At 38.1% G+C, this 27,225-nt stretch overlaps 1 protein-coding gene and 2 pseudogenes across 10 annotated transcripts in view; 1 reads left to right on the top strand and 2 right to left on the bottom strand.

The window, feature by feature from the left end:
* Positions 1-27,225, top strand: part of EXOC4 (exocyst complex component 4) — an 847,874-nt gene that overhangs the window by 458,084 nt on the left and 362,565 nt on the right. The gene's annotated exons all lie outside the window — the stretch shown is intronic.
* Positions 15,959-16,598, bottom strand: COX5BP3 (cytochrome c oxidase subunit 5B pseudogene 3; annotated as a pseudogene).
* RPS3AP27 (RPS3A pseudogene 27) lies at positions 21,332-22,059 on the bottom strand (annotated as a pseudogene).

The following is a 27,225-nucleotide window of genomic DNA, read 5'->3' on the forward strand; positions in this document are numbered from 1 at the left end:
AAATGCTCAATTATTCACCCTACATCATCGCTGTCATTGGTGAGAGTTTTACTGTATGATATTGATGCCTGGCTTCTTTCTTATTGCTGTATTCTTTTCAGATTCAATCTGTCTGCAATGGGCCACTAAACATTTCAATTTGCTACCTGTGGAGCTGGATTGCAATGCTCAGACTGAAATGAGAAAAATGGATTTAGTGAAACTCAAAATAGAGAGAGTTTCATGGATTTTTGTGGAAGGATGCACAAACTGAAACCCACTGATAAAAATACACACGATCACTTTTGAGTGTCTCATAAAAGTACATGGTATTAAGCAATTCATGGATGTTTTTAGGGAAAATAGACTCAGTGAGATGGAGACTGACAAGACTCCCAACACTTAGGGGAACTCAGACTCTGTCAATCTGGGGTGTAGTTGTGTATACTCAGTGCCATTATCATAGTCCTTGAATACAGTATTTGTAAAGCCGTACTTGTTTAGGTGCACTTAAGAGAGCTGAGCTAGCAAAGAACAGGATAAAGTCCAAATTATTTTCTGGCCAACCCTAGCATTTAGTTTTTTCCTAGCAGGAATCATTTAGGAGATTTCCTGGTTGGGAGAGAGGGTTCATTTCATATGGGTGCCTCTTATTATTGTCATTTCCTGACTGTTGCCCATAGTTCTTGACTGACTGTAGTACTCACTGTCTTACCATGCCTTCCTGTTTATTTATTTATTTATGCCCATTTTGGATTTATTTTTCTCTTTGACTATCAAGATGCTCTAAAAGTTTCCCCACATTGCCTAAATTTGAGCTCCATGAAATAAAGTGGATTTGACAAACATCAAGAACATTCAGAAGTACTTGATAGAAAATGCAAGTATTAAGAATTAGAGGCTTAAAAAAGACTGAAGTACCACAGTAAGGTGTTACTTCAAGCCCACTAGGATGGCTGTAACATAAGAATGCAAAATAACAAGTCTTGCCAGGACATTAAAAAATTGGAGCCCTCTGGCCGGACGCAGTGGCTCACGCCTGTAATCCCAGCACTCTGGGAGGCCGAGGTGGGCAAATCACCTGATGTTGGGAGTTCAAGAGTAGCCTGACCAACATGGAGAAACTCCATCTCTACTAAAAATACGAAATTAGCTGGGCATGGTGGTACATGCCTGTAATCCCAGCTACTCAGGAGGCTGAGGCAGGAGAATCACTTGAACCCAGGAGGCAGAGGTTGCGGTGAGCTGAGATTGCACCATTGCACTCCAGCCTGGGCAACAAGAATGAAACTCTGTCTCAAAAAAAAAAAAAAAAAAAAAAAAAAAAAAAAAATGGAGCGCTCCTACACTGCTGGTAGGAATACAAAAGGGTTCCACCATGATGCATGATGGCAGGTTTGGCCGTGCCTCAAAAAATTAAACATAGAATTAGCATATAATTTCACTATTCACTCCTAGATATATATACCAAAAATAAAAATTTAAAAAGGGACTCAAACAAGTACATATACACACACATTAATAAAGCTCTATTCACAATAGCTGAAAGATAGAAATAGCCCAAATAGCCGTCAGCAAATATATGGATAAACAAATTAATGGTATATCCATATAGTGGAGTATTATTCAGTGATAAAAAGGAATGAACTACCAATACATGCTACAACACGGATACACCTCCAAACCATTATACTAAGTGAAAAAGGCCAGGCCCCAAAGGCCATATATTATATGGTTCAATCTATATGAATATCCAGAATGGATAATTTTATAGAAACAGAATGCAGATTGATGGTTGCCAGGGGCTAGGGAAAGGGGACAATTGGGAGGAAGTGCTTACTGGATAAGGGCTCTTACTTTGGAGTGACGGAAATGTTTTGGAAATAGAGAGAGGTGGTGATAGCAAAATATTTATTGTACTAGGTGCCCCTGAACTGTTCATTTTAATATGGCTAATTTTGTATTATATGAAATTCACCTTAATAAGTTATTCCTGAGGAAAAAAAATAGCTAAGAATTCTTATCTGGGAAGACAAAGTAAAGGGTTAATAAAGACAAGTCCTCATATGCAGTAGGTTTTATAAGAATAACCAACTCATCTCCTCTTCTACAGAGTTGCCTAAGTAAGAAAAGATAATTTATAGTGGAAGGAATATGGACCATGTTCATTCCTACCAACTAGATTGTGACCTCCCTCAGAATGGGGATTATTCTTTGACTTACCAATTATTTTTTTTTCACAAAGTTACATAACAGTCATTAATTTCATCATTCTGAAATATTCATAAGAGCTTGCTGTGCTATAGGCATTATGTTAGTCTTGGGGATATAAATGTGAGTAAGATAGATATCATCTAGAATTAAGGTTCTGTTTGAATAGAAAGACCAAAAAATAAGTAAACAAACACAAGAAAGGTATTTGATATGGTTAGGCTTTGTGTCCCTACCCACATCTCCTCTTGGATTGTAATCCTCATAATCACCATGTGTCAAGGGAGAGACCAGGTGGAGGTAATTGAATCATGGGGGGTGGTTTCCCCTATGCTGTTCTCGTGATAGTGAATGAGTTCTCATGAGATCTGATGGTTTTATAAGGGGCTCTTTCCCCATCGCTTGGCACTTCTCCTTCTTGCCTCCTTGTGAAGAAGGTGCCTTGCTTCCCCTTCACCTTCTGCCGTGACTGTAAGTTTTCTGAGCCTCCCCCGCCCCAAACATGCTGAACTGTGAGCCAATTAAACCTCTTTCCTTTATAAATTACCCAATTTCAGGCAGTTCTTTATAGCAGTATGAAAATAGACTAGTACAGTATCATAGAACATAAGAGCTATAATGGAAACCAATAGGAAGCTGAGACATAGAAATATGGCGGGGAATTTGGTCTATACTGCTTGATAGGATACACAGAGCCTTGGATGTGGGCACAACCACTGTCAGGCCCACCCTCACACCAGCATCAGTACTAGGTAGAAGCTTTCTAGAGTTGGGAGAGAGTTTTTTCTGCAAAAAACTCTTTTGCAGTTTAAAGGGAAGATAACCTGAGGACAGGCTGACCATGGACTAGGCAAGAGCCAAGGGAGTGACAGACAGCTGGAGCCACAGTTCACCGTCCTGGAACCCTCCCCACCTTCTGACTAACTGTTGCATCCTCTTGCTGCTGAAAGCCTACTGACGGAGAGGTCACCTTGGATGTTTCTTCCATAGTCTGTATTGTATGTTCAGGAATTTTAGGAATCAATTGTGTTAGCAAGTCATCCCCATTTTACCAGAGTGAGAACAAAGCCTCTAGTGGTGTAGTGACTTGCCTAAGACTCAGCCAGGATTCAATTCCTGATCTTTAGAACTCAAATCTAGCTGTCTTTTCCATTCATATTATAATGATTGTCATAATATAATAAAAGTAACAATTGGCCCCCCATATTCCTGGGTTTTGCATCCAGTTCAACTGAGTATAAATCAAAACATCATTGCATCTGTATTGAGCATGTACAGACTTTTTTTGCACAACTGTTTACATAGTGTTTACATTGTATTAGGTATTGTAAGTAACCTAGCGATGATTTAAAGTATGTGGGAGGATGTGCGTAGGTTACATGCCAATACTACATCATTTTATATCAGGTACTTGAGCATCCATGGGCAGTGGGCTGGGTTGGTCCTGGAACCAGTCCCCATACAGATACCAGGAATGACTGCACTAGACTACAAAAGAGCAAACAGATTTGGACTTTAGCCTCTACTCTGCTACTGTGTGACCTTGAGAAAGACATCACATCTCTGGGCTTCGTTTTTCTCTGTGGTATGATGGGGTAGGTTATATCTGTTGATCTCCAGCTCTTCTTATGGTTCTAATACCTGATTCCATTAATATTTCTTCTTCTGTTTTTTCTTTACTCCTCAAAATCATCATGATCATCACAAAAGAGCAGCAGTTTTTTCCTGGGTTGTATAAATAAAGGAGGCTAGACAGCAGAGAATGGAAACTGTGGGCAGCCTTGTACTGGGTATTCCAGTATCTCTAATTCCAAACTAGTATATGTTTTTAAATAATTTCTTTTAGAGACAGGGTCTTGCTATGTTGCCCAGGCTGGCCTCAAACTCCTGGGCTAAAGTAGTTCCCCTGCTTTAGCCTCCTGAGTAGCTGGGACTACAGTTGTGCCCAAATCAGTTATTTTCCAGACTTCAGTGTTCTCATTATCCTTTCATTTCTTGTGGCTACCACTGAACACTTTAGCTAGAAAAGGTGAAACCTGACTGCAGACCACAAAAACGGATCCGGTCTCTTAGCTCCTTTCTCTGCCACCCTCAAAGTAGCCATTAAATCTTTCACATTTTCTAATGACTTTTTTTTTTTTTGGAAGGGGGAGAAATTGGGAATGCAAGCAATGGGAGAGATACAAGTTATAGTAATATAAAAAGTTATAGTAATTCAGTCATACAGTATAAAAACCCTTATATTTTGTGTGAATATAGGAAATTTTCTTTTCTTTTTTCTTTGAGGGCCTTATCTCTGCTCTTGTCTGCTGAATTCAAAGCTGACCACTTTCTACCTCTTCTGCATTTTGTGTGTTGTTTCAGCAGACATTGTTCGTTGTTTTCTTTTCACTGTTAGAGGCTTTCAGAGAGAGAAAGGAAGGGAAGAGAAGGGAGGATGCTAGGGTACCAGTGCCCTTTCACTCCTAAATTCTCATGAGTCTGTACTATAGACCCATGAGGCTGAGCAGTTTACTTCCCATGTTAACTCTAATTCTTAGTCTAGAAAGCATATTTTTTTCATTGGAATGTTACTGTCAAATTGCTATATTATTCCTGTTCAAATGGGGAGAACCATTTATAGGTGATGCAGAATCATTAAAGCAGTTAACTCTGCTGGAGAAGGTGGAAGGCACATGGTATCTCAATTGAGAAATTCTTTTCCTGCTTCTTTAAATTATTAAAGTCAAATACTTAAAGAGTACATGCTACAACACTACATTCAAAAAGGTTTATTCTAGCATGATACTTAAGTATTCTTTTTCTAGATGCATTTCATTCATTTAGGCATCCATTCATCAAATGTTTATTGAATACTTACAATGTGCAGGGCACTACAGAGTGCTGGGCATGTAGCAATGAAAAGTTGACATGGGACTCTGTCTTTAAGTGGCTTTCACTGTGTTGGAGAAAACAAATTGAAAAATGTAAGGGCTTGTTATAGAGCTGAAATACTTGTATATGGGAGCGAGTCTTGGGTGAATGCAACCTATGTATACAGATAAGGATTTAGAAAAATGTAAGAGCAAAAATACTGCTTTAGAAGGATCTGTAAGAGACATTCTGCCTATTCACAGAATAGTGTATACTTATTACATCTAATCTTGCCTGATAGACTTGAAAACATAAAATGGTTTTTAATATAGATTATGATATGGTCTCCTGTCATGACATATAGAAATGGAAATGCCCCCAAAAAAGAGCTTACTTCTAGAATATGTTTGTAATTATAGGATTTATTTGTTTTACACTACTTAGAAAATATTCTTTGGCCGGGCACTGTGGCTCATGCCTGTAATCCCAGCACTTTGGGAGGACAAGGCAGGCAGATCAAAAGGTCAGGAGATTGAGACCATCCTGGCCAATATGGTGAAACCTCGTCTTTACTAAAATACAAAAATTAGCAAGGTGTGGTGGTGCGCACCTGTATTCCAAGCTACTCGGGAGTCTGAGGCAGGGAAATCACTAGAACCTGGGAGGCAGAGATTGTGGTGAGCCCAGATCACACCCCTGCACTCCAGCCTGGCTACAGAGCAAGACTCCATCTTAACAAAAAGAAAAAAAATAAAATATTCTTTAAAAGTACATTTCTTCAATTGGCCATAATTCATACCAGTCCTGTGTTCTTTGAGCTCAACTATAAATTAAGAAGCAAGAAATTTAGTTTTTCTTTCATAGTTACATTTTTTAAAAAAATTGGTATCCCGAATAGATTCCAATAAAAAAAATTCCAAAGATGAACTGTAAAAACTTCTGAAAGGTTCACTATTTTTCTTATCCTTTAAGGTGGCTACTGCCAAAGAATAAAATCAGTGAAATTGCCTTTTGTGTGTAATTCAAGGTTAATAACTTGTGGGAGAACTTTCGATCATAAAGTGAGCTTTATAATTTTATCAATGATAGGAACAATCTTCTATTAGGTTAGTATTATTCATTTAATAGCTAAAGAGTTGGTGTATTTCTCATTCAGTTGTAAGTGTTTTCTCCCTTTTAATCTGATCCATTAGAGCACTACTAGAATGTAGCTGTTTTGGCTGTGCACATGCTTGCCGCCCCCCAACCCGTGAGGTCCTCCATGATGTGCTCTCCACACTACCCCATGGTTCTGCATAAATTTTTTGAATATATTGTTTATATATTCATCTTACTGCTAGATTGGGAGCTTCTTGTGCCAAGACAGTATCTTTGTGAATCCAGTGCCCAGCACGGTACTTGGTGTATTAGATGTGCATATGTAAATAATGAGTAGATGAAGTGTGGTCATGTGAAGGATAGAATATACTTACACACATACACACACAACAAGCAAATATACATTAAATGCCTATTTTTTACATGTTTATATCTGGGCCTGTTGAAGTTACTAAATATAAGGCTCTTGTCTTATCCTTGGGGAGCTTACAGTTTCATTGGAACCAAAATTAACATTTGTGAAAAAGTTGCCTTAACTAAAGATGGTGTATATCTCAAAGCCTTGCTTTATTCACAGGCTAAAGGATCACCTCTCTTATAAACAGAGGCTAAAGAACTCCTTTTAATAAGGAGAATCAGGGACTTCTTCACAGAGGGAATGGGACTTTAGCTCAGCCTTAAAAAAGTGAGTGAGACACATGACAAAAGGCACTGTCATATAGGTGGTGATGGTGGTTTCATTCACTAGATTCCATCTAAGTCTCCATTCATCATGCACCAGAGTTCAACACTGATTGCCCGCCTCACCCAGCGTGGGTTAAGGAATAGGTTTTACTGGTGAAAGGGAAAACTTACAAGGCTAAGTCAGCAAGAGAAAAGAGGGAGTACTAGGTATACTAGGTTTGGATTCTGCTGAACCTACTCTGTGGGTTTGAGTTTCCCTGGTATTCCGCCTTACCACAGGGCAAGAATGAGGAAGCATTCTTATTGGTGGGGAATACAGAGGCTACTTAGGACCAAGCAGTTCAATTTAGGGCCCCAGCTGCCTAGAGAAGTTGTCTGAGAATGTCAGCTGCTTTCCTAGTACTTAGATGCCTTTAGACTGATGTGAATTGGCAGTTTTCTCTTTTTAGAGAAGCCACCAGTGCTGAGGAGAACTGATTTGGGAGGAAAGTGTTCACCTACCCAAGCCAGCCCATTGTCCAGGCAACACTGGGTCAGCTCTGGGGTCACTATCAGATAATCCTGCTTCTTGCACTACCGAGGTTAAGAATTTGCACCCTAGAAGACTTCAATTCAAATCCCTGCTTCCCCACTCACTGGCTATGTAACCTGAGGCCCTTAATGTCTCTAGGCCTTAGTATTGTAAAATATGAAGTTGGGATAGTAATAGTTCATTTTTCCTGGGATTGTAGTGAGGATTAAATAAAATAGCCATGTAACACATGGTGAATGTTTAGTAAACATTAGCTGAAAAGGAAGGATCCTCTGAGAAAGCGAGTGGTGAGAACATTTTTATGGGCATAGCCATGCTCAGGGATAGTGGGTGGACCCACTTTCCCAGTCTTGTTAGGGAAAGGGCTCATTCTAGGGAGAATAGACTGGATTTGTGGAGGGCCCTTAATGTAAGACCAAAGAGTCCTCTTCCAGTCCATTTGGAGCCATTCGTGATTTTCACGTCGAACCATGTGAGATGGTTTGGCTGTGTCCCCACCCAAATCTCATCTTGAATTGTAACTCCCACAATTCCTATGTTTTGTGGGAGGGACCTAGTAGGAGGTAATTGAATCATGGGGGCAGGTCTTTCTCATGCTGTTCTCTCAGTAGTGAATAAGTGTCACAAGATCCAATGGTTTTAAAAAGAGCAGTTTCCCTGCACAAACTTTCTCTCTTTGCCTTCTGCCATCCACGTAAGATGTGACTTGCTCCTCCTTGCCTTCCACCATGGTTGTGAGACCTCCCCAGCCATGAGAAACTGTAAGTCCATTAAGCCTCTTTTGTAAATTGCCCAGTCTTGGTTATGTCTTTATTAGCAGCATGAAAACGAACTAATACACTATGACACATAGAAGAATTTTTAGGAAAAATAGTGTGGTGGTAGGCATTCCACATAGATTGGAAAGTAAACAAATTAAAAGCAGGAAGACCTTTTAGGCTAGAAGTAATTTATTTTCCAGGAAGCCATGGATTTGAGTTTTTTGAACTTCGACTTCCATCTAGTCTGCCATCAGCCTTCATTCCTTTCATTAAGCCCTTAGTTGCAGTGTGCCTCAGACCTTTGTCTGTCTGCTGCTCTTCATCATTGTGTGCATGGTTTGAGGCTTAGCATTGCAAAAAAGAGTTAAGAAGTAATCAAGATTATTTTAATAAGGCATAGTGACAAAAACAACATAAATGGCATTTCTCTGAAGTGAGTTTTGGTGATTTCTCATTAAATTGAATTGGCAGAAACTCAGAAACAATACTTTCTCATTTCAAGAAATAGTAATTGTTTTTAATGTAGCGAGCCAGAGTTCTATAAAAGATTGCAGTGTCTTGTTCAACATTCTGTTTTCTAACCCCGTCTAGCATAATGCTTGTAAGAAACTAACTTCTCAGGAAAGGATGGATGGATGGATGGATGGATGGATGAATTGAAGGTATGCAAAGGAGTTCAGATTCATTGGACCTTATCCCACTGATTGTGATTGATTATATATGATTGTCTAATATGTTCTCACCATCGCCACGTTTGGCTGTGGACCTCTTGGGGCAAGGTCTGTGTCTGTTTTTCTCACTGTATTACCAGTTCCTATCTCGTTAACTAGAATAGTCTTTCATTAAGTGGGTAAGTGAATCTACCCCTGAAATAATGCTAAGCGTGGGGTTCTGGGAGAGTATATCACCAATAAAGGATTATGTTCTGGCCTTGGGCCTTAAGCCACTCACTTAAGATCTCTGAGCCTTGATTTCCTTATCTGAAAAAATGTGTATAGTACCTATTTTGCCAATACATAATAGGTTAAAATATAATAATACCTTAGAGTAATACTAATTAAATCTGCTATATGTGCAAATAATCAAGAGACTTATTTAATGAATGTTGCGTATAAACCTTCATAATTATGAGATTGCAAGGCATAACCACCGGTAAGGAAATAACCTCTTTACCCAAGGAAACCATAATGCACAAAACAGTCGACCATAGGATCTTATTTTGGGGGTATTTTATTTTCTATTCATGTTAAAGCAAATAAAATAGTCCCTTTTGGAATATATCAAGTTATACAACTAGAAATTTCTGATAGTTTGGTGGATTTTGCATGCCTGCCTCAGTTGTTTTCTGTTAAAATACCAAAGAAAAATAAATTTCAAGAGAGTCAGGACAATATCTTGCTTAACTTGTTGATGATGCTTAACGGCAACCTGCTATTGTATTTAGCAAACAATAATATTTCCATGGTAGATAAAGAGAAGATAGACTATTTGGAGATGTAGAAAATGAATATTCCAGCAAGAGGATAGATAACTTCAAACTGACCTGACTGCTGTCCTAAGCATGCCACCACAAAAACAGCTAATAGTTATTTAGGACTTAAATTTATCTGATAATTTTGAGAACAAAATCTTTTGAGCTAGGTTATAATATAGGAGCCTTCGATTTTCCTACATTAAATGTGTAGCTTAGTGGTATTTGATGTTGAAATGGTAATTTTGCTCTATTCCTTTTGCTTCTGGTAGACTTGCTCTTGAATTTACTACCTGTATCCAATTAACGGAAAATAGAGAACTTGAAATTCAGAGAACTCATTCTTCCCATCAAAATATGTACTATACACTGGCCTTGGTTTTGGGTGAAGATGAGAAAATATGGAGCTTAATTTTCATTTTTTTCATTAAGATTATGAAAAAATCTGTGTTTTGCACATTTATCAGCAATGGCATTACCTTGCAATTTACTATTTCCCATACTCATAGGAACTTATTATAAAGAAAAATACCTCAAAACATTATCAGACATACCTTTTGAGTGTTACCTGTTTGAGATTCTTATAGTATCCTTAGGGAAAGAGCTACGAATCAAAACTGGTAATTGGAACCATTAATAAGATAGAGATTCTCATAATTTGAAACCAGGGTGGTGTGTCAGAAAAACGATACGTTTGGAAGTCAAGGAGTCTCATTCCTGTTCCTAATGTTGTCAGAGGCCAGATTTTATCACATTAGACATAGGCCAGTTTAAGATTTAGAAAAAGAAAAATCCAGATAAAATATGATGCTTGGTGTATGACACAGTAAGTTTTTGAATCTTTGTGGTCAACCAGAAGCACCAGTTCTTTTTCATGACTTCCTAATAAATCAGGCGTCTCTTTTCATGTAGTCATGGGTTAGGTTTACATGGTAAGAAGGAATTTGTTGGGAGACAATGCTCCATGGATCGCTTGTGTCCATGTGTCATGAACAGAGGCACAGTGACACCCTTTTGGTTGTGACCTGAAGGATGGTTGGTTAGTGAACAGCCTTGGAAGAAAGAGATAATGCCTCCCACTAAATGATGATATTCTGGCTACTATTTTTGTGGGGAGTAATAAAATATCCTTGTCCCTGACCCAGGAGTTTTTGTTTGTTTGTTTGTTTTTAATTTCTACCAGCATCTGTGAAATGATGGCAGGCTAACTTGTTAGCTTGCAAGTAGGGTAAAACCTGAGATTCTTCACAGTTTCTGGCAGAATTGAGTTTGAACATACTGAATTTAAAGTAAGGGACAGAGATGAAGTTATATACCTGATGCAATTTGCAGCTGCATATAAATTCTGGCACGCAAACAGGAGGTCAGAACTAAAGACATAAAAATGTGGCTTTATGATTTCTTGCTAAATAGGCTTTGCCCTGTATCCCATTTGGGACTTGGACGCCTGAAAACTGTTCTTTCATTGCAATGAAATGTTGGAAATCTATTGATAATGCACTTTGATTTTGAGAGTGTTAAGACATAAAACCAGAGAAAACTGGTATCTCTGGCCACACATACTCAGCTACTTTACCTGAGTTCATTACATTCTTGTTACCTTTGCATTTATCTAGAGTACAGTCTCTTTAAATGGAGAAAATAGTTAATGTCTTTCTCCTTTAGAAATCAAGATTCTACAGAATGAGAAATGCTAAGGAAGCAATATTTTTTTTTCCACAGGGAAAGGGAAACTGGCTATTGTTAAACCCTGCCTTTGGCAATTGCATGTCTCTATCAGTAGCCAATTTGGAAATATTGAAACCCTGTCTTTGGTGTAATACAACTGGTGTAGTAAGCAGAGGTGATAACTGTTACGTACTTCACCTTGAATTTTAGGCATTTTAAAGGTCATTGGGGAAGGGAAAATAATCCATTAATTTTTACTAGAGTGTTCATGTAAGTGTCTTCTGCTGTGAAAATCAATGTAAAATTTCACTGCCATTCAAAATGCAAAGTGGTGTATAATATCACTACTCCAAACTGCCCTAAATTGTTGCATTTTTAAACAAGCAGGTTTTGAGTTATGCCCTTACCTCGTAAATTCAGCTTCACAGATTGGATTATTGCCATGTGGATGTAGTAGCAGGAAAAATAAATTTGTGTCAGTCTGAATTCTACTTGTGCATTTATTAAACTACTCTTAACCTTTTCTTAGGTCAGTGATCATCATACAGATTTGCTTTTATATGCCTTAGAGAAAAATTCCTCTATGAGTATTATTTATGAGTTAAGTGTTACTTATCCATTTACATTAGTAATCTTAAATTATTTACCTGCTTTGGAATTCATATGTTACAAATTTGCCAGATGAAAGCTGCCAGATGAGTGAATATATTTGTGCTACATGTCTGTTGCTCATTAAAGTAGCTGGTTTGGGATTCACAGCAAAAATAAAAAGTGTTACAAGGGGTAGAAAAGAGGGGAGAAGAGGTCAGGCAGTTTATAGCAAAGTCTGCTGTGCTGCAGCTGGCACTAGCTGGCGCCTTTGGGCAGTTTCTGCTAAACCTTGAGCAATTGCTTTCACTCTTCCACCTCCCATGTTGTTTCATTCATTCAATCTTAGATGGAATTGGTTAGAGAGGAGAAATAGAACACTATTTAAAACAAGAGAAATGGTATATCCCCCTCTGGCAGAGAACACAGGTAAGACATTACCTCTTGTACTTGATGGGAGAACATCTTTTTTTTTCTTTCTTTCTTTTTTGTTTGTTTGTTTGGGACAAAGTCTCACTCTGTTGCCCAGGCTGGAGTGCAATGGCGTGATCTTGGCTCACTGCAACCTCTGCCTTCTGGGTTCAGCGATTCTTGTGCCTCAGCCTCCCAAGTAGCTGGGATTACAGGCATATGTCATCATGCTCAGCTAATTTTTTGTATTTTTAGTAGAAACGGGGTTTCACTATGTTGGTTGGGCTGTACTTAGACTCCTGGCCTCGGGTAAGGTACATGCCTCGGCCTCCCAAAGTGCTGGGACTACAGGCGTGAGTCACCATGCCCAACTTATTTATTTTTTTCTTTTTAATGAGACAGGGCCTCACTATGTTGCCTAGTCTGGTCTTGAACTCCTGGGCTCCAACAGTCCTCCCACCTGCCTCCTGAGTAGTTGAGATTATAGATGTGCCACCATGCCCAACTGAGAATATTATCTTGATCTACTAAATAAATAGATTTTATTTCCATAATGACTTATTTAGAATTAAAAGCGAAGCCCTGAGTTATATATATATTAAAAAAACTTACATGCATTTGCTAGTCAGGCCAGTTTAACTTATGTGAGAGCCAAAAATCTTACATAATTATTAACAGTTTAATGATGATAGATTATTGATTATAATTAAACCTAGGCTGTCAGACTAATCAATGGTAAGTTTAGTCTTAGGCCTTGAGTTGCTAGGTCAGATCTGGTTTTCCCAGGCTGATATTTCAAAAGTCTTACAGTCTTCTTTTGTTGAGAATCCTTCACTTTTCCAGTTACTCCAAAGGAGACCTCAGTCAGACCAAAGTTTGATGGAGGTCAAGTTAAAATTTAAACCATATCTGGAAGCAAGGTCAGTGCAGCAAAGGCACATTCTAAAGCATTACTTCATATACCTTAATTCTTCCGGAAACTCGTTTGCTGGGTGTTTTCATTCATAAGTTCATTTACTCAGCACTCATTCAACAAATATTTTTTATTTTTTTCAACAGATATTTATTGAGCATCTACTGTGTACATTATATTGTTCTAGGCTCTGGAGTTATATTAGTGACAAAACAGAAAAAAATTTTGTTCTTTTGGAACTTGCAGGGAAATACAGATATTAATAATATCATATCTATTATTTTATTAATGAATCATAAGATACAGATAATAGATCATTTGGTGACAAGCACCATGAAGGTAAAGTGGACTGAAGGGCTCATTAAGAAAGGGATCTCTGAAGGTGATATTTGAGCAGAGGCCAAAAGAAATATGGGAACGGTTCATGCAGTTATTTGGAGACAGATGTTCTAGCAAGAGGGAACAGCAAGTACAAAGTACCTGAAAGAAGCATGTGCTTGGCATTTGGAGGAACTGTGAGGGGACTGGTAGGATTAGAACACAATGAGTGAGAAGTGAAGGGAGATGAGGTCAGAGAAGTGGTGTGGAATTGGGGATGAAGGGTGATCACATCATAAGCCATAGCAAAGATGTTTACATTGAATTAAAAAGCTATTGGAAGGTTTAGCGAAGTACAGGAAAATGATGTGACTTTGGTTTTAAAGCGGTCCTGAACAATAGCACTTTCTGTGATGATGGAAGTAGTCTAAAATCTGCAGTGCCCTCTAACCCTTTGTGGTTATTGAACACTTGAAATGTTGCCAATGCACCTGAGGAACTGAATTTTTAAATTTAATAGAATTTTAATTTAAGCAGTAACATATGGCTAGCGTATTGGTCAGAAAAATTTTATACATTTTCACAGGTTGCTTTATGGAGAATAGTATGTGGAAGCAAAGAGGCAAAAGCAGGGAGAAGCCTTAGGAATGCAGATCAAGGCTTAGCAAAAATTTTTTTTCTTATAAAGGGCTAGCTAGTAACTATATTAGGGTTTACATTTCCTTTTTCTTGTTTGTTTGTTTTGAGATCGAGTTTCACTCTTATCACCCAGGCTGGAGTACAATGGCGCGATCTCAGCTCACTGAAACCTCCGCCTCCTGGGTTCAAGTGATTCTCCTGCCTCAGCCTCCCGAGTAGCTGGGACTACAAGCCCCCACCACCACATCCAGCTAATTTTTGTATTTTTAGTAGAGACAGAGTTTCATCATGTTGGCCAGACTGGTATCAAACTGCAGACCTCAGGTTATCCAGCCACCTCAGCCGTCCAAAGTGCTGGGATTACAGGCGTGAACCACTGTGTCTGGCCAGGGTTGACATTTCATAGGGACTCTATGACAACTACTGAAGTATACTATTGACAGTATGTAAATGAACTAGCATGGTTGTGTTTCAATGAAAGTTTATTCATTCATTGGTCAGATTTGGCCCATAGGTTGTTGTTTACCAACTCCTGGTGTGAATGAGAGGTGCGATGACCAGGCTTATTTCAAAGGTAGACTTGACAGGATTTATTGGTGGATTGCATGTGTGGTGTAAAAGACAGAGGAAATTCAAACAAATAACTTAAAGGTGTTTGGACTCCACATTTGACAAAAAGGAGTTGCTATTCACTGTGATGGGAAAGACTTGGATAGAAGCAGATTTGGGAGAAACTGTTAAATTTGGCTTGAAGTTTAAGATGTCTGTCAGTTATCCAAGGGAAGTTTGGAGGTGAGGACTGAGATCTGGACTGCAGCTATATACACTTGATAGTTATAAAAAATGGTATTAAAACCATGGGTAGGAATAAGATCTCCTAGAGAGAGAATTTGACAAAGAAGAGAAAAAGGTCTGAGGACTAATCCTTGGCATACTTCAGTATGTGGTAAAACACATACGGAAAACTGAGAAAAGAAGACTGCAGAAGGGTGAAAGAAACCAGAAAGTGATGTTTTAGCAGCCAAGTACAAGTGTGTCAAGTAAGACTTCATCAGTACTTATCAAATGCTGCCTGGTACGTAATAGGCACACGTATGTGTGCTGAGTCAATGAATAACTGGGTACGTGCTATTCTATACTGACTTCTGTTGAGTTCTAATGTACAACACCCCCTTACCCCATTCAGAGGCCTTTAATGGCTCCCCATTGCCAACTCCTTGACCAGGAATTTGTATTTTAATATATGACTGAGTTGAACTGCAACACCTCTTCATAGGCCTCCAATAGGCTCTGCAATTTTGCATTTCTTTATTTACTCATTCTATGCAAATTCCTTCATGTGTGAAATGCCATTCTGTCCTTCTTTGCCTCTTGAAATCTTATCCCTCTACTAGGAGCCCTTTCAAATGCCCTCTCCTAAATGAGTACTTCCCCTTCCCTCCACTTCTCTTCTAACCTGTCCTTAAACCCTTGTCATGGCTCTACTGACATGCATCCCACTTTCCATTTGGTTCCAGTTGTTCATTTTGTTTTGCACATGATATTCTAGGATCCCTGTGAGCAGGTGCATGACACCATAGTGGAATGATTGTGAACATGGAGAATGGTATAAACAGACCTGTTTTCAAATACTAGTTTTTTATTTACGAACCTGTGACTTTCCTAAGTAACCTAAACTCCTGAAGGCTCCATTTCTTCACTTGTAAATGAAGACAAATAAGGCGTCATGGAATTAGTTGAGATAGTTCCATTAAATTTATTCAAATATTGCACTTATTGCCTGTCAGATTCAAGCTAAATTTTTTCAATTTAAATAATTTATTTTTAATAGATTGTCAATCTGTTTTTGTTATTGATCTAAGCACTATACAGTGATTATATACTTTAAGTAAGTGAATGTCAAGCTAGTGTTAACAGATAGCTATTGCCAGCATAAGAATATTCCCTGCCTACCCAAAAATATCGGAAAGAAATAAGACCAGCCACTTATAAGAGAAGGTGCCAATGCAATGGCTAATCTTTATGAGAAAGAAGAAACTTTACAGCACATTTTGAGTAACTTAGTGCATGGGCTCAGTGGGCCACCTGCTGGGACACCACCTTCTAATGGATTCCACAATTAAGGCATTGCTGGGTCTTGCCTTTGCACAGCCAAAACCAGATGATGACGCTGTTGTCCTCTTCACAGACACAGCCCCCTATTTGCTTGTTGGTGATGGATAGGACCAAATTAGGCTCCTTCTTGGTTCCTGAGGCTGCCTTTGGGGTTAGTATGTTGTAGGGTCCAGTCCCTTCAGTGCAGCCATCATAACCTCCCTCTCCAACCCAGTCACCTGCTCACTATCACTAGGAGCACAACCTCCAGATGCCGTGGAGCGCACTGCGGTCGCCCACTGGGACTGCGGGCCTGCGTAGTCAATGCTGCAGCTCCGGAAAGTAACCTCGAAGTCGTCACACCCACAACAAGCAGCAGTACCTCCGGGTAAATAATTTAATAAACAAGTGTGTGCAAGGAAAAGTTATAACAAGATTACTCCCATTTTTATTCGTTTTTATATTTTTATAGTGTTTACCACTTTCCCTTGTGAACACATGCTTATTCTTAAATTATTTACATTGAAAGGATTAAGCATTAACTTTTATGTTTTAAGTTAATTACAGTTGAATTTCTTTCTTTTTTATTTTTCATTTTACACTCCTTGTTAAAATTCTTTTAAATCATTGCCGACTTGGCAGTTTATTGCCTTGATAACAGCAAATGAGTATCTGATTCTTCCTTTACCCCAAATTGCCACTTTTCTTGTTGATCAGCAGCATCACTGAGTGAAAACCAGCAACAGCCGAAGTCAATATTTATAACTTTATCATTAGACCTTAAAATCTTATGTTAGAAATTTATGGTAGTGCATCAGGTGGAGAGAGAAAGTTCCATGGGAAGCTAAACCTCTGCTTAAAGGCTTTGTGAAACTTGACTAGTAAGAAGCATAGTTGCTGTTTCATGAAAGTAACTATTTGCTAGGGAGCCATCTTGAAAGGATTATTTCTGTGACACTATGTACTGGGGAAATTTTTATTGAGACTTTGTATTGATGTTGTCACATAATGTTTACTGTAGACAGTTTTTTATTTCAGAACTGTAGATAACATTGAGAGTTATAGACTGTCTCAAGCTTTTCTGACCATATCGAATGAATCAAAGAGTGTCTTTCCTTGTTAGATTTAAGTTGGATTTTCTGTCCTTCCCTTGGAAAATGGTTGTATTTGCTGGTAATTTGTCTTCATATTTAGTGTAAACTTCCCTTACTTCATTGCCATCTAGCTATTTGTAATTTACAGTATGTGCCACTATAACATGATGTAAAATTCATCTATTCTGTAAACTTCTTTTGGGCTCTTACCCCATTTCATTATTAGTTGGCCAATAGCATTAACAAGAAGGACTTCTATGTACAAGTCATTATACTGAGACCTTGAAGGTTTTCTAGCCCAGACACTCCAACACATGATCTTTTCTCTAGCATCCCTTCATCTTGAATTTTGTCCACCCTAACATACTGTTAGTAATACAGAACTCTCCACCTTTTGAGGAAACCCATTCCATCTCTCAATGAAATTAGCTATTAGAAAGCCTTCCTTTAATGCAAAACGCAGTCTCCTCCCAGGAGGATTATTTCTGTGACAGTATATACTGGGGGAAATTTCCATTGCACTTCTAGCCTTTGGGTTTCTATGGAAATAGTCTAATCTCTCTTCCACAAAACAGTTCTTCAAATATTTGAATGACAGATCCATAGTTCTATTCTGTAGACTCTGTTGGTTCTCAGATAATGTTGGTTATTGATGAATTTTCTTCCATTATATTTCCTTAGAATTAGTTTCAAGAAGACCTAAAAAGAACAAATACAAAAATTTAGTTGCGAACTAAAAACTTGAGGCAAGTTGTGAGAAGAAATGTGGGAATGATTGACAGCTGGCTTGGTTACCTTCTATTGAGTAAATATATAATTATGCCATTTTTTAAAAATGTTATTTTTTTGAGAAGACAGTAATTGCACTAGTCTATTGTATAATTGTTAAAGCAATGCTATTTGCTTATTTGTCTTTAATCAATGGGTTTGGACTCACATTGACCTAATATACAAATCTTGCAAACTGCTTTTTGAGGGCACTGGGGAAGGGAGAAACACATAAAAGATACTGCCAGGTAAATATATATTTAACCAGAAAGAGTCAGCACTGTCAGCTCAGTTCACTGCATATTAGGGAGCAATGAAAAGGCCTCATTGTGCCTCCTGTGATTGAAATGATATTATCTGGCATGACTGGAAGGGAGTGCTTACTTACAGAATAACTTCTTTGGTCTTTTCAAAGATGGTAAGACTTCTCAAGCTTTCTTGTTATTTTATTTTTAGTTAGTTATAGATTTTTCTTTTAGAGTATTTTTCAAACTTCCTTATTTTGATGGTAACTTTTTAAAAAGTATTGAAATAGTCATAATCAGCTTTTATATTTCTCCTTTTCTAAATGCTTCCATGTATTCAAAAGATAGATTCTCTCCTCACTACAGAAGGCTAAGAAAACTTCCTTTTCTAGGTCTACAGTAGTCCAGTCTCTTGGTCAAAGGTATACGATACATTAAATCTTTATCTGGAAACCTCTCAGAGGAAGATAAAGTAATCGACCTTTAGAAATTAAATGTTATAGCATTCGGATAAATAATCATTGGCTATTGTTATTACTTTTCTTGGATTTAGGTGAAGGAAATAAAAGATGCAGGCTTTTGACCAAATTAGAGCATGGCTTTAATTTCCTGTTATTCCAGCATTGCTACTCTTTCTAATAACCACAAATCAAGGATGACAAACAAACAAAACCGCACACTAGATCCCAAAGGCAGCTAAAACAGCTTCTTAGTGACCTTCTTTCTGACCTACATTGTACAAATGAGATGATTGGAAACAGGATAATAATTGATTGCAACAATATGACAATCTTGTTAAATGGGCTTAAAATTACATTCTCTACCTGGACAGGGACCTTATAGGGGAGATCTTAGAGGTAACAGGATCCTCATGTATGGAGCGTTAGGATTAATTGTTTATGATGGCACTTTACTGAAATGTTCTAAATTTTCATTATTTCTTTCTAACAGATTAGTAAGATGGTATTAATGGTCCTGCCCTATCTGCTGAGCACAGTTCTTAAAAAAACAGCTTTCTGATATAACGAAAGTCAACTTGGTGAGCTACCAGCTGTTTTAGATTTGGCAGATTTCACATTCGCTTTGGGATGCCTGTTTGGATATGTTTATAAAGTCATTAATCTTCTGTCTCTCCTCTCTTCCTGCCTTCCTTCCTCTATTACTTGCTGAATTCTGGACATACAGCAAAGTGTAAGATGAATCTCTGTCCTCATGGAGCTTACAATCCAAAGCATATTGAAAGAAGAGTTCAAAAATACCAACATTGAATATCAAACTATTTGAAATTATGTGCTATATTGGTTTTATTTTTCAATTTTGTATGGATTAACTTGCAATAACAGATAAACACAAGTATGGTGCACTTTGGTAATTTTTTGGTGAATGCTGTGGAAGACAGGCCTTTAGTAAGGTTAAATATTCTACTTTCCTCTATTAGATCTCATTTGACTTCACAAGATTCACTTGATAATAGTTACAAAGTAAATCCAGTTCTTCAAATGGAAGATAGGATTTAGGTATTTTTTACTTTAGATTTTACTTAAAACTATAGATTACATTTAAATAAGCAGCATATTTCACAGAGATTTTCAAAAATATTAGATTTCACCCTAATTTATGTTTTGCACAATATTTCAATGAAAATTTGATGTGGTTGTTAATGTTTTATTCCTTTTGATCATTGCAATAAAATAATAAAATGTAACATCAGATTTACTGTTTTAACCATTTAAGTGTATGATTCAGTGACATTAAATACATTCACATTGTTAAACAACCATGAACACCATCTATCTCTAGGATCTCTTCATCTCCCCAAACTGAAATGCTACCCGTTAACCAATAACTTCTTATTTCCCTTTTATTGCTTGCTTTCTTTTATGTGAGACATGCATAAATGAATATCCCATATCTTTGGCTTTTTTTTAAGTAATAGGTACTAACTGAAGACTCTCCATTTGTTACTGGGATATGAAAAAAAAATAGTAACTTGTAGAACTACTAGACTTCTAGAACTACTACTGTGATCTTGCAAAACAGCAGAGAAAAAAATAAAGAGATAAATAAAATAGTAACATGTCTAGCCAAATAAAATACTCACTAATACAGTGGAGTAGCATGGAATTTGGCATGAGACCTCAGTTTGAATCCTGACTCTACCATTTAGCTTAAATGGTTGCTTCTAGGCAAGTTGCTAACCTCTCTTAGTTGCCTCAGCTATAGAATGGGTATAATAAAAGCTTGTTTTTTCAGCCTCATGTTCATGTTGTGAGGACCAGAAATTTAATTATATCAAAGTATTCTGAAAATTAGAACTCACATTTCAAAAAAAAATTTAAACAAATCAGACTATGGGAATATAAATTAGTTCAACCATTATGGAAGACAGTGTGACGACTCCTCAAAGACCTAGAACAAGAAATACCATTTGACCCAGCAATTCCATTATGAGTTATATACCCAAAGGAACGTAAATCATTCTGTTATAAAGATGCATGCATACGTATGTTCACTGAAGCACTATTCACAATAGCAAAGACATGGAATCAACCCTAATGCCCATCAGTGATAGACTGGACAAAGACAATGTGGTACATATACACCATGGAATACTGTGCAGTCATAAAAAGGAACAAGATCCTGTCCTTTGCAGGGACATGGATAGAGCTGGAAGCCATTATCCTCAGCAAACTAACACAGGAACAGAAAACCAAACACCACATTTTCACTTACAAGTGGGAGTTAATGAGAACACATGAACCCAGAGAAAGGAACAACACACACTGGGGCCTGTCAGGGGTATGGAGGGAGGGAGAGCATCAGGATAAATAGCTAAGCATGCGGGGCTTAATACCTAGGTGATGGGTTATAGGTGCAGCAAACTGATGGGTTGATAGGTGCAGCAAACCACCATGGCACACATTTACCTATGTAACCAACCTGCACATTCTCCACATGAATCCCAGAACTTAAAATTAAACAGCAACAGAAAAAAGGCTGAATTTTAAACAGATTCCTGAACTAGTGGTTCACACCCATCAGCTCATTCAACTTCAGCACCTGTCTTGTCTCTAGTAGCTTTTCCAGAACCACTACCTTCACCATGAAGCCCCATGCCCTTTCCCAATTCAAACTTGGGCTTAGCATTTTTACTTTTCTAACCAAGACATCATGGAAAGGATAAATAGATTAGCAAGCTGTTTTAATATATTTTGCAATGCTGTCCGAAGTCAATTTACTGGCCACTTCTTTCAAGTCATCTGTCTTGCAGTTTTTGGGTCATGGTTTTTATCATTATCTCCTGGATTTGGCAGACCTGTTGGTGCTGAGCATAAGAAGTCTTTTGTATCTGATTGTTGTACTTTTTAGTAAAACCAACACAGAACAGATGAAGCAAATAACCATCAGTAGTCTTGACATCAACATGAACTTCAGTAATGGTCTGCCATTTTTTTGACCATGGAACATATTTTGTCACTGGTAGGATCCATGCCATGAAAGTTAGGCAGTTTTTACCTTGTTCGTCTTCAGTAATCAGCCTGAATTTTCTAAATGCAACTTGACTGCAGATCAGCAAGGCTCACTTCAAACACGCAAACCCTTGAGGCCATCTGATGCAATTTTGGTTCCTTGAGTCCTGGTGACTAGTGTCTTTCCAATACTTCTTATATTGAATGTAGCTGCTTTCACATCACACTAGTCGGTCTTAGAAAATGTATCTACCGGCTGGGCATGGTGGCTTTTGTCTGTAATCCCAACACTTCGGGAAGCCGAGGCAGGCAGATCACAAGGTCAGGAGATCAAGACCATCCTGGCCAACATGGTGAAACCCCGTCTCTACTAAAAATACAAAATTAACTGGGCATGGTGGTGCATGCCTGTAATCCCAGCTACTCAGGAGGCTGAGGCAGGAGAATCGCTTGAACCCAGGAGGCAGAGGCTGCAGTGAGCCAGGATCACGCTGCTGTACTCCAGCCTGGGCGACAGAGAGAGACTCTGTCTCAAAGAAAGAAAAAAATAAAGATAAAAAAAGGAAAATGGATCAACAACTTTCTTGGCTTCCTTTTTGCCACTTTTTGTAAGGCACTTGTTCTTGGCAACTGCCGTGCTGCTACTGAAAGAGCCAAAAGGAAAGAAAGTGCCTCAAATGTTAATGTATATGGCATTTGGCATATACAGATATATGGCATAAATGTTTTCCTCTTATTGCCTTTCCTTGCCAATTCTTAACTACTAGTTTTGTCATTACACTTGACACGTCTAGGTGTCACTCTTTAATTTTCATTCTCCCTGAACTTTAATTTTTACAAGTCTATGGTAACTTTCTCTTCAGTGTTTGTAACTACCACATTTCTATAGAAATCTTAGGGTGATCTATTGAGATTCTTCACCCTTCATTTCTAATTCCTCATGATACTATGCAAGTGACAAAAAGGTGGCTTGTGACAGAGAAATATGATATTTAAATAAAATCCTTAGAATCAAAAAAGTGCCTAAGTTAACAACTTTTTAAAAGGGCTATTTTACCAACTCCATAATTGACATTCTGTCACTGCTCAGACTTTATTTCATTCCTGCTCAACTCAATATATGGATTTTTATACAAACCATTTACCAACCACTAGACAATAGCGCCTCTGGCAGATCAAATTTGTACAGGTAAGTTGTTTGTTATCCACAGGAGAGCTTCATTGTATCCTTGGGACAGCTTCCGTTAGCAGCCCAGAGTGAGAGTTGGTGACACTCAAAAACTCAAATTATTGATGAGAACATCCCAAGTACTAGGAAGAATTTAAAATTAAACCTTTTAAGCCTGTGCAGTCATTATCACATTAAGCAGGGAGATGGTGATGGGTCATAAATTGGTTTTCCATTTTACTTAAACAGGACCTGGCAGAATGTAAATGGAACCTTTGAAGTTCACTTATCTCATGATAATTCTTCACTTTTTTTTTTTTTCGAGATGGTTATGAGGTTGAAACTTTAGATCTCTAATTGTTTCTGTTAGATTCCATTTATTGGAAAAATTATATTTCGAGGATTTTTCCCCCGGTTTCTGTATGCCTTCCAGAAACCCAGGGACTTCTTGAAATTCTAGTTTTCCTGTACAGGTTGAATCTCCCTGATTTTGAATTAGAAAATTCAAAATCTGAAATGCTCCAAGTTTGACACTTTTTGAGCACTGACATGACATTCAAAGGAAATGCTCATTTGGAGTATTTTGGATCTTGGATTTCTGGATTAGATATGCTGAACTGGTAAGAATATGTGATACAAATATTTTAAAACCTGAAAAAAATCCAAAATCCAAAACACTTCTGATCCCAAGCGTTTTGGATAAGAGATACTCAACCTGTATCGGTTTCATGCAACTTTTTGAAATATTAGAGATTTAACAAGTCATGACTCACTTCATTGTCTGTATATCGTAAATGTTAAAGGCCAGGCACGGTGGCTCACGCCTGTAATCCCAGCACTTTGGGAGGCTGAGGCGGGTGGATCATAGGGTCAGGAGTTTGAGACAAGCCTGTCCAACATGGTGAAACCCCGTCTCTGCTAAAAAAAAAAAAAAAAAAAAAATACAAAAATTAGCCGGGCATGATGGTGTGTGCCTGTAATCCCAGCTACTCGGGAGGCTGAGGCAGGAGAATTGCTTGAACCTTGGAGGTGGAGGTTGCAGTGAGCCAAGCCACTGCACACCAGCCTGGGTGACAGAGGAAGACTCTGTCTCAAAAAAAAAAAAAAAAAAAAAAAAAAAAAAAAAGTTAAAGTACGGTTTGGTGTTTGTCTTTCTTTAGACTTAATGTACATGTTGAAACATCAGTTTAAGCAGTGCTTTTTCTTTTTTATAAAGCAGCTGGGATCTGACTTTTAATCTTAGCATATTGTTTATAAACCTCTACTAGATGACTTACAAGTTTATCTGAGTCATCTCCATGCACACCACTCATCTTCCTGATCTTTTCTTATAAGGAAATCTGATTAGTTGCATTAGAAGATTATGTACCTGCCTCAGTTAAATGGGATCTTAGATTCTCTATTTTTGGAGATATGATAGTCCTCCACTTTTTGCCATTTGAGACCCTCTGAAGAGTCTTCTTCTAGCATGACTCTATTCTACTCAAAAATCTCTTTTTATCTTTCTCTTCTCTTCTTTTTTCACTTTTTCTGAGGAACGAGTTGTCTTCTGCTATATCAAGCGAAGCTCCCCATTTGTGTTTTTGATTATAAATTCTCCAAATTTTCTAGAATCTTGCTCCATGATCCCCCACCTAACCCAATCCAGCCCTCTATTACCATAAGATACTTATTTACTTCCCCGGCATGGTGGATTATCCCTGTAATCTCAGCACCTTGGGAGGCCGAGGCAGGCAGATCACTTGAGGTTAGTTCGAAACCAGCCTGGGCAACAGGGCGAAATTCCATCTCTACAAATAATAATAATATAAAAATTAGCCTGGTGTGGTGGTGCATGCCTATAGTCTCAGCTACTTGAGAGGCTGAGGTGGAGGATTGCTGGAGCCAGGGTGGCGGAGATTGCAGTGAGCCTGCATCGCACGACTACACTCCAGCCTGGGTGACAGAGGGAGACCCTGTCTCAAAAAAAAAAAGATATTTATTTTCTCTATGTCCACTGATTTCTTTCTTTCTACTTACAAGCATGCTCATTCTCTCCTTATCCTAAAGAAACCTTCCCCTTACCTGAGATCCTCTCAAGATACTCTTCTACCCCAAGTTTATCCAAACAGTAGGCTGTGTTCCTTTTCTCTACTTTAACCACCCACTGACTCTACTCTTTCTCTTTTGAATATTTTTTGCCTCATCATTCTGTGTAGAACAGTGTTTTCAGCCCTGGTTGGAATATAATCATCTGGGTTGCTTTTAGAAACTTCTAATCCTTTGTTTCCATCCTGAAAAATTCTGATTTAATTGGTCAGTGATAAGTCTTCCCACTGATAACTTAAAAAATTACCCCAGAAGACTCTAATATGCTTTGGGTTGAGGACCATTGCTCTAACTCATCAGTATAATACCTCCTAAAGGTTACATCAACAGATTTCCTTCCCAATATTTACCCTTCTAGGTTTATTCTTTCAAAGTAGGAGAAAACATTCCCTATGCCCATAAATATTCACGGTTGAAATAGTGCACCATATTTATCCTCCCACCTTTCTGACTGCTCATTGTCTTTGTCCTCTTTTGACTGGTCTTCCCCTTTCCTGTTCCAAAAATACTACTTCTGCCCCAATTATTAACCTGGGTAGTTGTTCTAATCTATGTAGTCTAGAGTAATGATCTTATTTCCTTGCTTTTCCATTATGTTTGTGTAATATCACCCTACTCTTTCCCCAAACCCAGAATCCTCAAAACAAACTGCCTTCTGGACACCTTTTTACATATATCATTGGCATTCTTGTCCAAAGAAGAACCTATTGTCTTGCTGAAATTGTTTTTGTTTTTTCTTTCTAGCTCCTGTTTCTTCAGCCACCTATGCCATAAACATCATATTTAAATTTTATCTTTCTTTTTGTCACTAACAGTTATTATCTAAAACCTATAGATTCCGTCCTATACACTGCTTCTTAATTTGCTATTCTTTTAGTATTCCTCTAGTCATTAATCATATTCTGGCTGCACATGTACAATTATAATAACCTAGTAGCTGGTCTTTACTATGTACCACACACTGCTGTCATATTTTCAGGCACAGCCCCAATCTTTTCACTGTCTTTTAATGTGTTCTATGGCTCCTTATTGACTGTAATTGAATCCAAACAATTAGGATGAAATTCTAGGCACTTGGTAATAGTTCTCTGCCAGCATTTTCAATCCATCTCCATCACTCTTCTGCAGAGACTCTATGCTGCAGCTAAACTGGGCTGCTTGCTGTTCCCTAGCCTTTAAACTTTTTTTTTTTTGGACATTTCTTTTCTAGTATAAATGTTCTTTTTTCTTATGAAGCTTATTAATTTTTTTTCTGACCCCCTTAGGCAGGAAAATTTTTGCCTTGTTCTAGGCTATATAGATCTACCTCATGTTATTAGACTTCCAAATTCAGTATAGAACTGGTAGCTTACCGTTTCTAGTTGTTTGTATCTCATTTAACCAGGATGTGTTTGTACATTAGAAGATGGCTTGTGGCTGATTGTGATGTATGTGACATCCTGCGACCTTTGTGTAGCAGATTGTTTTTTCCTTCAAACTATACATGACACAGAAGAGGTTTTTCAGGTTTGTTTTGTTTTTTAATTACCATGTTTTTGTAGGCCAGAGGCTATCTTCACAGCCTCCATGATTTATGGAATATGCCATTCAGACTTTCAGTTAAATGACAAAATAAATTCCCTAGAAAGTTGGACCCATATACTTTTAGATTCTTTTAACTTTGCCCACTTTTTTGTGCCTCTTGATTTTTCTTTCTTTTTTTTTTTTTTTTTTTTGAGACGGGGTCTTGCTCTGTTGCTTAGGTTGGAGTGCAGTGGTGCAATCTCATTTCACTGCAGCCTCTGCCTCCTGGGTTCAAGCAATTCTGCTGCCTCAGCCTCCCGAGTAGCTGGGATTGTAGGTGCACCCCATCATGCCAGGCTAGTTTTTGTGTTTTTAGTAGAGACAGGATTTCACCACGTGGGTCAGACTGGTCTCGGACCCCTGACCTCAAGTGATCCTCCTGCTTCGGCCTCCCAAAGTGCTGGGATTACAGGCGTGAGCCACCAGTGCCGAGCCCTGCTTGATTATTAAATCCAAATTGTCCTCCTGCTATCTTAAAAGAAATGAAATTTCTCAGTAGTAGCAAACAATGTCAATCTATTTGAGACCATTAATGACTCATTTATAATGTCAACAGTCACATGAAGGCTAGAAAAATTAAATGTGTAGCCTCATTACCTTTGTGGTTAG

Source organism: Homo sapiens, chromosome 7, assembly GCF_000001405.40.
Source record: "Homo sapiens chromosome 7, GRCh38.p14 Primary Assembly".
Lineage (NCBI taxonomy): Eukaryota > Metazoa > Chordata > Mammalia > Primates > Hominidae > Homo > Homo sapiens.